A 12,563-nucleotide genomic window follows, 5' to 3' on the forward strand; every position below is an offset into this window, starting at 1 on the left:
GGGATGCCCTCTCTCACCACTCCTATTCAACATAGTGTTGGAAGTTCTGGCCAGGGCAATCAGGCAGGAGAAGGAAATAAACGATATTCAATTAGGAAAAGAGGAAGTCAAATTGTCCCTGTTTGCAGATGACATGACTTTATATCTAGAAAACCCCATTGTCTCAGCCCAAAATCTCCTTAGGCTGATAGGCAACTTCAGCAAAGTCTCAGGATACAAAATCAGTGTGCAAAAATCACAAGCATTCTTGTACACCAATAACAGACAGACAGCCAAATCATGAGTGAACTCCCATTCACAATTGCTTCAAAGAGAATAAAATACCTAGGAATCCAACTTAGAAGGGACATGAAGGACCTCTTTAAGGAGAACTACAAACCACTGCTCAATGAAATAAAAGAGGATACAAACAAATGGAAGAACATTCCATGCTCATGGATAGGAAGAATCAATATCGTGAAAATGGCCATACTGCCCCAGGTAATTTATAGATTCAGTGCCATCCCCATCAAGCTACCAAGGACTTTCTTCACAGAATTGGAAAAAACTACTTTAAAGTTCATATGGAACCAAAACAGAGCTCGCATCACCAAGTCAATCCTAAGCCAAAAGAACAAAGCTGGAGGCATCATGCTACCTGACTTCAAACTATACTACAAGGCTACAGTAACCAAAACAGCATGGTACTGGTACCAAAACAGACATATAGACCAATGGAACAGAACAGAGCCCTCAAAAATAATGCCATGTATCTACAACCATCTGATCTTTGACAAACCTGAGAAAAACAAGCAATGGGGAAAGGATTCCCTATTTAATAAATGGTGCTGGGAAAATTGGCTAGCCGTATATATCAAAAGCTGAAACTGGATCCCTTCCTTACACCTTATACAAAAATTAATTCAAGATGGATTAAAGACTTAAATGTTAGACCTGAAACCATAAAAACCCTGGAAGAAAACCTAGGCAATACCATTCAGGACACAGGCATGGGCAAGGACTTCATGTCTAAAACACCAAAAGCAATGGCAACAAAAGCCAAAATTGACAAATGGGATCTAATTAAACTAAAGAGCTTCTGCACAGCAAAAGATACTACCATCAGAGTGAACGGGCAACCTACAGAATGGGAGGAAATTTTTGCAATCTACTCATCTGACAAAGGGCTAATATCCAGAATCTACAAGGAACTCCAACAAATTTACAAGAAAAAAACAACCCCATCAAAAAGTGGGTGAAGGATATGAACAGACACTTCTCAAAAGAAGACATTTCTGCAGCCAAAAGACACATGAAAAAATACTCATCATCACTGGCCATCAGAGAAATGCAAATCAAAACCACAATGAGATACCATCTCACACCAGCTAGAATGGCAATCATTAAAAAGTCAGGAAACAACAGGTGCTGGAGAGGATGTGGAGAAATAGGAACACTTTTACACTGTTGGTGGGACTGTAAACTAGTTCAACCATTGTGGAAGTCAATATGGCGATTCCTCAGGGATCTAGAACTAGAAATACCATTTGACCCAGCAATCCCATTACTGGGTATATACCCAAAGGATTATAAATCATGCTGCTATAAAGACACATGCACACGTATGTTTATTGCGGCACTATTCACAATAGCAAAGACTTGGAACCAACCCAAACGTCCAACAATGATAGACTGGATTAAGAAAATGTGGCACATATACACCATGGAATACTATGCAGCCATAAAAAATGATGAGTTCATGTCCTTTGTAGGGACATGGATGAAGCTGGAAACCATCATTCTCAGCAAACTATCACAAGGACAAAAAACCAAACACCACATGTTCTCACTCATAGGTGGGAATTGAACAATGAGAACATGTGGACACAGGAAGGGGAACATCACACACCAGGGCCTGTTGTGGGGTTGGGGGAGGGGGGAGGGATAGCATTAGGAGATATACCTAATGTTAAATGACGAGTTAATGGGTGTTGTACACCAACATGGCACATGTATACATATGTAACTAACCTACACGTTGTGCACATGTACCCTAAAACTTAAAGTATAATAAAAAATAAAATAAATAAATAAATAAATAAATAAATTACCCAGTCTCAGGTAGTTCCTTATAGCAATGTGAGAACAGACTAATATAGTCTGTATGCTGTGTTCAGTGTTGACAACCGTAACTATTGTGCCTACTCCTTTGATACCTCTGTTGTTCTTTTTTTCCCCCAACTTTTAAGTTCAGTGGTACCATGTGCAGGATGTGCAGGTTTGCTACATAAGTAAAAGCATGCCATGGTGGTTTACTGTACAGATCATCCCATAGCCCAGGTATTAAGCTCAGCATCCATTAGCTATTCTTCCTGCTGCTATCCCCCAAACAGTGAGTGTTGTTCCCCATGGTGTGTCCATGTGTTCTCATCAGTCAGCTCCCACTTATAAGTGAGAACATATGGTATTTGGTTTCCTGTTCCTGCATTAGTATGCTGAGGATAATGACTTCCAACTCTATCTATGTCCCTGCAAGGGACATGATCTTGTTCCTTTTTATGGCTTCATAGTATTCCATGGACACCTCTGTTTTATTGGCTGGCTCTTCTTCACACTGAGTTACTGAGTTAGCCTGGCAGGAGCTTCCAAGAAACTTGAGTGAAGGAAATTAGGAATGCAGGACTGAACCAGGGAGCTCACTTTTTGAGTAGTGGATCCCAATCCCAAGATCCATGACAAGGTATTGAGTCTTTGGTCCAGAAGGAAACACTAGGAAACTGTGTCAGTTAAGAGGTCTATTATTTCCTTCTGGGTTTAGTCTTCCTTGAGGGGACTTCCTCTCTCCTTCATTCTTCACTTCTCATCAAGGGAAGAGGCAGGACATATCCGACTGGTGAAATTCTTTACTTTCATCTTCTCTGGACTCAGTTCTCAAGGAGGGTGATCTTTGAACTCTATGAGGAAGCTCACAGGAGCAAGCAGTGAGCCTGTACGAGAGCCTGAACTTGCCCAGTCTGCCAGTAGCTAGGTGGTTAAGATTAATTCTGGGGGAGAATAGAGACTCTGATTAGAACAGATTAAAGCTCTATTCTCTAATCAACCTTAACAATTATGATCTGTCTGACTCCTTTGTTTCTTATGAATTTGTTTTATACTTGGAGCAGAGAGGATATAATTATCCCTCAATAAACCCCATCATTTTCCCTTGTGCTTTGTTCAATTGTTTTTGTTTTGAAGGTCTTTCTCATCTAAAATTGCATAAATATTAGCCCATATTTTCTACTTGTTTTTTTAATAGTGTATTTATAAAAGTTTCTCAAAAAATTTATTTTTAAAATAAGATAGAGAAGTAATCAACATTACTGTACAATAGTAAATATTAAAAATGCAGATAAAAATTAAAATCATACTTAAATTTTATACTGTGTAGCTTCTACTGCCAAAATTACTAATGTGCGATTTTTTGCAAACTTAACTTTATGTTTAATTGATTTAATTGTTTACTGTCAATTTTTTTACAGCAGGATTTCTCTATTCTTGAACTTTTAATTTTGACTTATCTTTTGTTGGGCTCCAGAATATGATATACAGAAACTGTATTCATAATGCAGTTTCTGAACCTTGCATATCTAAGAATGTTTTCCAGTTGTTTCACCCAGGAACCAGAAGTTTGCTCTATAGCCCTCAATTCTCAACTGTACAGCATTTCAACTCTCTTTTCTCTCCCCTCAAACTTTGTAGACTCTACTTCTTTTTACCTTCTGGCATTTATTGTTGCAAAGGAGAAAGCTGAATACTTGTTTAATTTTTAGTCCAATGCAGGTGATCTGTGTTTTCTCCTTGGATACAGGTAGGAGTCTCTCTCTATTTGAATATTCAAAATATTCCCAATGATTTTTCTAGCTATGAATATCTCCTTATTAATTGTGACTAGAGCATGAAAAGCTATTTTAATGTGCATATTCAGAATTTTAGGGTGTGTGAGGAACAAGAAAGCATTCTTAAAATACATTTGATTATTGTCTCATTTCCAATTATTGTGTATTCTTCCTCAGGAACTTCCATATTTGTCGTCTTCTCTCATTGTTTTCATTTCTTAGTCCTTCCCCTGCAATTTGAGATCGTTATTCAAGTTTGTCCTCAGCATCATGGACTCAGTTTTTCATTGTGTCAATTTCACTCTTTTTCTACTCTGTACCTTAATTCTCCCAGGACATTGTATTGAATGCCTTCCTGATTTTATCTGGTGCTCATTCTCATATCATCTGGTTCTATCCTTATGACTTTCTAGTTTCTACTTTTGTCTTTATGAAGATACGAAGCAGTTTTCTAAAACTACCACTTTAACAGGTGTGTTCTTTTTCCCAAGTTAAGCCTCTGGATTAATGCTTAGTTTTTCTTTCATCTCCTACATTCCTCAGTTAGGAGGATGCTCTTTAGTCCTGGTATTCAAAGGCAAGCAGAGTGGACAGTCTCCCCTTGGTTCTAGTCTTAGGGGTGAAGCTTCTTTTGAAGCCTACAGACTTACTCATGGTCCCATCTTTGTCCTCATTCTTAAAGGACAGGACTTTGGTGGTCATAATATAACCAAAATCTCTTTAGGTTAACAGCACTCCTTATGCATAATTTGAAGACCTGAGAGGTAGGGGTTAACACATCCAGAACTGATCCCCTGCAGGCCAGCTTCTCAGAAAAGAAGATGGACGCTAGCAAAGCTCCATAGAAACTAGTTAGGCTCAGTGCTCAAGGCAATCAATCGTGACCTATTGCAAAGGCTTGTCAGGGGGCCTCTCTCTCCTGACAGGGGAGAGGTTGGTGTTCCCCAAACTATGATTGCCCATGTGGTAAATCTTACTATTTGTATGCCATGCCCTATGACTGCAACCACAGGGCCTCTCTCCTTGGTCCCTCTCCCGCTCCCTGCCACCCCCTGCTGATCATGCAGGGGAGGGGCTGATGTTACATCAAATCATGAATGCTGAACTGTACCAAGGCTTTGCCATGTCATATTGCTATTGCGTCTGGCTCCTAATCATACAGCATCTGATGATAGGATAATGGGAGACCAGCACCCTGCTATTGCTCCTGCCTCTGCAAGTTCTCACAAAGCAATGCTGCTCCCAGTTGGTCTGCTGTGAGTGCTGCTTACCAAGTTACCTTGCTAGCATGGCAATTGTTCCAGTAAATGGAATATTTGTCTAGGCACACATCATGGCCTTCCAGAAGCAAGTCAGGAAAGCAGAGATAGATTAAAGACTCAAAGAGAGGGTCTAGTAGCAGAGTTGTTGTCAGCCTTTGGGAGTTGGTGACTATCAGCAGGAATGACCCCTGGAAAACTGAGGAGTGGGAGACCTACAGGGTTAAGACTCAATGATAGAATTTATTGTTTTTTTAGTGAGAGTAAAATAAGTTGCTAAAGATGGGATGGATACTGTACTGAGAAGAAAGCTGAACCACTGCTTCATAACACTCATGGAAAAATAAAACAAAATCACATAGTGTCATGATCACTAAAGAATGGGTAGAGGAGATAATTAGGGAAGGGTACTGACCATCAGCAAACAGGGATAAGTGGACTCCCAATTCTAACTCCTCTCTATGAGATCAAAACGGGAAAGGGGACAGTCCCTTATAGTGGTGGCCTCCTCCAGAAGTCTGTTGCTGGGTCTGCCTTCCACTGCTGGGTGTTTCAAGGGAGTGCTGGTAGTTATTTCAATGTGTCTTCACAATACTGTGCTGCTCCTGGTGCCTTCTGAGCTCCTGGCAATTTATAGAGATACACTAGCTAGTGTCTGTCCAAAAACTGTCAACAATAAATTTAAGGATCTGAACTGAGCAAGCTAGTCAGGACAGCTGTTTCTTTCTTCAGAAGTCCCCCAGTCATTGGAAGAACTTGGAATTAATGCTTAGATTATGGTTAGCCTTTACTCCAACTCTGTAATAAAGTCATACAGGAGGGTCTTCCAAACCGGAAAATGTGCACTTTCTACGTTGTTCTTACAATGATCTCCCCTGCCTTGTCTGCAGTGAACATATTCAGTAACTTGGGGTTGTCACCAATCATCTATCATCCAAGAGGACATCTAATTTTCCTCTGGGTTTCCCACAGCAAAGTCAATATCTAGACTCAAAGCTAATGGGTTGAAATGGAATGGGCTGCTAATGAAGTGGGAGATGATACTTACAAGCCACCCACTGGAATTGGGAGAAGGGAAAGGACTAAAATATGGACTGAAATGAAGGGTTAACTTGTCCAAGACTGACCTCTCCAGTCTAGCCCCTCACAAAGAAGGCTGGCCTCCTGCACAGCTCAATGTAAACCATCTAGTCTCAGTGCTTAAGTCCATGAATTTGGTCAAAAGCAAGGCTTGAACTTAGCTCATCATGGGGAAGCGGAAAGAGGAAAGTGCTGGTGCTTCCTCAACTATGAATGCTGGTGTGGTAAACCCTACTGCTAGTTTGCATGCCCCCCAAACCTCACCAATAAAGCTGCAACTGCAAGGCTTGGACCCCAGTCCCTCATTATGCCAGAGAAGAGGCTGGCATTGTATCCAACCACTAATGCTGACCTGGCAGGATAGGATTGAAATGAAGAATGTGCCACTCATCTTGCTATTGTTCCCTGGCCTCAGATCATACCAAAGGAGGAGCTGGTGTTTCCCCAGTCATGTCTGGCCCCGATAGACCTCTGTGTGCAGCTCTAGAATGAATGGGAACGTCTATTGATCCAGTGTCTGAGAGCTTTCTCCTGTGCCCCACAGACACAGTGAGAATGCTGCTTGTCCGTTTGTCCTGTTTGCATAATAAAAACCTTACAAATAAGGTCACAATTCTGAAAGAAGATACAGCTGATTTGTTCCAAGTGTTTTTCAGTTGATGACAACTCCAAACCAGCCACCCCAGGTAAAGATCTAAAGATATTTGACCTGAAGAATGAGACTGCCAGCCCTTGAGTCAAAGGGAACCAGGCCATGCCGCACACCAAAGACCCATTTTTAGCAGCAGTGGGGACTTGAACCTATCTACTGTTTGTGACTCTGGCCAGGGAGCTCTGCGTGGGGCTCTGGTCACATTTACACCAGTGGGATGAACATGACCCTTGACTGTAGCCATGTGCCCAGTCTCTGTGGCTCTGGCTTCTGCTCATGTTCCTCATTTGCTCTATGGTTCCCTGAGTGTGCTGGAGCCCTGCCAAAGACTATAGACTGCTTGGTTGGGCCCTGACCACCTGCCCGTTGCCATCTGCCAGCTAATGTCCCACTTTAGCATGAATGAGGGCACCCCTGGAATCAGGATGCTGCCACCTGCCCCTGGGCACAGCTGCCACCTAGCTGTTGCTGCAAGGCCTCCATTCGCTTGTCTGGACCAATCAGATCAGATATGTGGAAGCTGGACCACCATCGCCTCAGAGGGAACCCTTCAGCCAGGCAAGTCCCCACTCCACTCTAGTCACATATTCTTGAAACTCCTAGTTCACTTTTTTTAGGTTGAAAATTCTACCCCATATTACAGAAGCTTCACAGATAATTTTCACCCTCACTAGGTACATCAAACACTCAAAGTTAATCTCTAGAGTTTTCATCAACACTGACTTACTTGTTTTATCTGTCAGGCAATAAAGATATGGTTCTAGGGTTTATGAACTATTTAAGGGCATAGAAAAATATTTTAGACTGACAAAAGTAGTTCCAAAACAAAATAACACACTCTCAAATGATCTCAAAAGCAAAAGCCTTTACAATTCTTCGTAACCCAAACTTCTTACTTATGAAATATGAGTGTATTTCATCATCCAATAGGGTGGAGCATCTAAACTCAAGCAAGCCAAGGACCTGAGAGTGTAATCTCATGGCAGACCCTCCCTGACTGCTCACATTTTCCAACCTCATCCTTTCCCTCAGTTGCTGCGTGGCTGCCACTAAATGGTAGGTGCAACATGGTGCCGTGCGTACTAACCACAGGGCCCATAGGCAGAGTATTTTTTGAACGAATGGGTGCATAGATGAATGAATAAATAAATTGAGCAATGTATAAATCCTCCAATAGAAATATTTTAAGATATTTTTAAAAATCAGAATGAGAGGGGAATGGGGAGTTGCTGCTTAATGAGTAAAGAGTTTCAGTTTTGCAAGGTGAGAAAATTCTGGAGATTGGTTGTGCAACCAAGTGAATATACTTAACACTGCTAAATATACTTAGAAATGATGAAGATGTCTAAGTTTTATGTTATGTTTTTCACCACCATAAAAAATTTAAAAATCAAACAAAATTTTAAAAAAGTAGAAATAAAATTTACAGAAAAATTCAAAATACACTTATGACAGCTATCTGAATCTCACTGCAGCCACTCTTCAGTTTTCATCAACATAGCCCTGACTTCTTTGTCCTATTTTCACATAATATGTATGATTTATTCTATGACTTCTTTTGGTGGGGGGGTCAGTAACTGACAGTTCCATTTGACAGTCCAGACAGAATTTGATGGTGTAATTACAAAAACAAAATAAAAACAATTTTACTTTCAATTTTATATAAGGAAGAACTTAACCCTTTTGTACAGTTTGAAAATTAAAACTTGACTTTTAGCAACAGGCTAGAAATTTTTAACAAATTTCTCAATAACTTCTCAAATTTCTGATATAACTTCTCAATTTATAGTAAGCCATATCTCCCCAGTGTGTACATTTATAATCACCTAGAGTCTCTGCACTCAGAAATGACTACTATTAACGTGTTAGTGTATGATATATGCACCATATAAATATATTTTACATTGTTTTATATCTTATTTTTCTATTTAAGGTATCAGGAGCATTTTCTGAAATTAACACGTATTTGGAGTTTCCTGTATTAATTTGGAATAAAATCCAAAGTCCTCACCTTGGCCTACAAGCCCCAGTGTGATCTATCCTAAGCCTCCCTGTCTAATTTCAGCTTCTTCCACTTCCCACCTTCCACTCACTGTGTTCTAGTCACACTGGCCTTCTTGCTGGTCCTTAGGCAATGATCAGCATGCACTTGCCTCAGGACCTTTGCACTTATTGCATCTTCCCTCTGGAACCCCTTTCTTCGGATTTTCACAAGGGCTTCTCCCTCATTTCATTGCTGTCTCACCTTATAATAGATAAGCACCTTATATAAAGTGATAACCATTGTGTATCCCCTTGCTCTACTTTATTATTTATTGTAGCACTTAACACTGACTTAATATTATATTATATAGCTATTGATTGTTAAGACCTGGTTTTCCTAGAAGAATGTAAGCTCTACAAGGGCAGAGACTTTGTCTTGTTCATTCTGCTATCCCCTGACACTAGGTTCTAAATCACTGTTTGTTGAATGAACCAATGACTTTTGCTTTAACCTATTTCATGACTGCACAGAACTCTGTTGCATGGATGTTGCTAAATACATTTAGCTAATTCCCTTTTCTGGGATACTATAGATTGCACTGCAGTGGAATACTTAAATATGTTCTCTTAAATACAGTAGTTTTCCATTGTTTTATCCGAGTTAATTACATTGAGTGCAGCAGCTTCCTAGCCATCCCCCTTCCTCTTTTCCCTCCTCTGACAGTTTGTATCACAGACAGACTGATATCACACTCCTTTCCTTGCCCTCCGTGTACAGAAGCTTAAGTCCAAGCTCTGACTGCTGGTGTGTCCTTATTCTATCTTCCCACTGCAGTTTCCCAGGGTGGGAAGAGTGGGGAGGATCACAAAAAAATAATGGGTACTAGGCTTAGTACCTGGGTGATGAAATAATCTATACCACAAACCCCATGACACAAGTTTACCTATGTAACAAACCTGCATATGTACCCCTGAACTTAAAATAAAAGTTAAAAAAATAATTTAACTATTCGAAGAAACACTCCACACTTCCCACTGGACGCAGGTTGTCCCTCTTACCATTTGCTCTAATTATGCTTTAGTGTACACTGTTCCCTCTTCACAGAATATATTCCTATTTATTTACAAGCCTAAATTCCACCCATCTTCCAAGTCCCTTGCCAGTCCCTCCTGATTGCATCGTGCCTTCCTTGAATCTAGTCTGCATGATCTCTCACTTCTCTGAGCTTTTCTAATACTCCCTATGTCTAGCACGCATGGTGGCTTCTGACAATGTTCAGGCGCCTTGCGAGCTTTAGCTACAATCACATGAACTGCAACTTCCTGAAGCACTTTCAAAGTCCTATGCAGTCCTAGTCACAAAATAATAAATATTTTTAAAATTTAGCAGTTTCACCAAAGTAAAAACTTTTATGCAAAATGAGATAGTGTTTTGAGGGAAGAAATGGCATTATTCAAGATCAAATCTTTTCATCTTTCCCTATATTTTCTTTTTATATTATCTACACACTATTCTGCCATAAAAATTTTCCATTCTTAAATTCCTATTTGCAATCCTTGATCAGCCACTATATATTATCTATTTCTGACAATTTTGTTGTTGTTTTAGATTTTGGCTTGTCTTAACATTATTAAGTATGAAGTTATTTTTAAATGAGTATTACATTCAGGAATTATTTTAAAAATCATGATGAGGTGTTACGTGAGTTATACAGATATTTCTTGGTTTTCATATAAGGGGCATGGGGCATTATGAAAATCTAAAAGTATACCTTTCATTCTTTTCATCCTGTGTGTAGAGGGGTTGGGGAGAATGCTTTCTCTTGGTGAGGATGTTACCGGGTGGGAACTGTAGGCTGAGCACTCAGGCAGAAGCATGAGCAAGGGATTCTGCAAAAAATATTCTGCAAGGAATACTGAAGCTGGGTCCACAAGTCACATGGTTTTGCTTTTTGATCTCAATAATATACATGATTATGCTGAAATCTCAGGTCTTTTTTCTCGACCACCACGTGTTTTTCCATTGTGTGATCTCAGGATCCACCAAAACATACCCAAGGCATCCTGGCAAATGCCCACTCACCATCTTCCTCGTAGAGAAGACCCATATGCATGTGTGCCTCGGCTTCTTTCTTCCCACAGTCAATTTTGATCAGCTGAGCAATCTTAAAACATCGTTCATAGAAGTGGTTCCTTACCCACTTGTCTTCAGAATTATTGAAGTAACAGGCCAGAGCATACAAGTTATTATGTACATCTTCGAAGGATTCTTCAAAGAGAGAAAAGCACCATGAATGGCATTAGAAAGATGTCTCATGGCACACCCTTTAGAACGGCAAACCAATATCATGACTTCCTATTTTTCCTTAAAGATGTGATTACCAATTTTAAAAATTGGGTCTAAAAGCAAAAATTAATTTATTTTAACTATTATATTAATTACATTAATTAAAGGATGTGCAGATGAGTAAAGCAACAAAAGGCTTTCTGAAAACTTAGAACATGTAGGAAATTGACACTATCTGGTTGAAACAGGAGGCTTTAAGATGTAGGACAGGACAATACCTACTAGCAACATGCTGAGTGCTTTTGGAAGAAAGGATTATGTAGTTTCATTGAGTACTTTTCCCACTGGAGGTTTGAAAGTACTTAGAGATTCTAGAGATGGCAATGTTTCTCAGCCATAGCAAAAGATAATGTAAATGAAGAGAGCAAAATGGATATGAAAATACCAAGGTATTTCATATCATAAAAATGTCACGGGCCTGATAGATACAACAAATGATGATCAGAATGACCCTATAAGCTCCATATGCTTTCAAGCAATGTTTCTAGCAATACAAATTTCTAGCAATGTTAAGAAAGAGTAGACTTCTACGCTTCTGTTTTCTATGGGTATTTTTTTGCTGGGAATGCATAAATACTGTCGTTTTTACTCAGAAAGTTCTTAATTAAACTCTTGTAGGTTTTTTTTCCTAAAGGGTATCTAACCTATATCTACATAAAAAAATGTGTCCGTCAATTGTGAATCAGTCTTATAAACCCCACTGTGATAGTAAACCTGAACGAATATGTCTGTGTGTTAATAAGTTGTGCCTCAGTCCTGTAAACTCCACTCTAATGGTGAATATGAACAAATTCATAATATTTATGTCTTTTGTATTTATGCTGAAATCATAGTTGTATTATAAAATGCAGTGGTCTCTGGGTTACCCTTCCAATAATTTTTTAGTAACAGTCATTATCTATTAGAATTCACTGATATTAATTGTTCACTACTACCAGAGGAGTCAACCCACATATTCCTGAAGAGATTACAATTATGAAAAATATTGCCCACTAGGACACCTGTAAGATTAAAACCAAAAGTCAGAAAAAATGAAACAGGTTGATTACAACAAAGGGTCATTCTGCAGAACCGTAAGTAAGTCACCCCAATGTTTCAAAAGAAATTTCTAAAACCGATTCTATTCCTTTACATATACTTCTTTAAAATTCCAATGGAAATTAACATTTATATCAAAATAAATTTAATAACTGGAAAACAAAATAAAAAGGTCTCCCTATCCTGGAAGTTGCTGGAGATTCTGGAGAGCCATTCTGCTTTTCGAGGACACTCACACCAGGTGACAGCTCAGGTGAAAAGTAGCGCATGACCTAAGCTATTTATCTGACGCAAATACTCCCACCTCAGAATACTTCTGTGCTTTGTCTTTCCATTATGAACTTCCT

At 39.4% G+C, this 12,563-nt stretch overlaps 1 protein-coding gene across 13 annotated transcripts in view; it reads right to left on the reverse strand.

The window, feature by feature from the left end:
• Positions 1-12,563, reverse strand: part of TTC29 (tetratricopeptide repeat domain 29) — a 239,248-nt gene that overhangs the window by 186,013 nt on the left and 40,672 nt on the right. For 12 of the 13 annotated variants that reach the window (NR_133922.3, NM_001317806.3, NM_031956.4 and 9 more), the window contains one exon: positions 10,915-11,100. The exons of the other annotated variant lie outside the window; for it this stretch is intronic. Coding sequence is in view for 11 of the 12 variants with exons in the window: in NM_001317806.3 (NP_001304735.1) it covers positions 10,915-11,100 (186 nt within the window). In the remaining variant the exon portion in view is untranslated. The remainder of the gene's footprint in view (positions 1-10,914; positions 11,101-12,563) is intronic. 13 annotated transcript variants of the gene reach the window in all.

This window comes from Homo sapiens, chromosome 4 (genome assembly GCF_000001405.40).
Source record: "Homo sapiens chromosome 4, GRCh38.p14 Primary Assembly".
Taxonomy (NCBI): domain Eukaryota; kingdom Metazoa; phylum Chordata; class Mammalia; order Primates; family Hominidae; genus Homo; species Homo sapiens.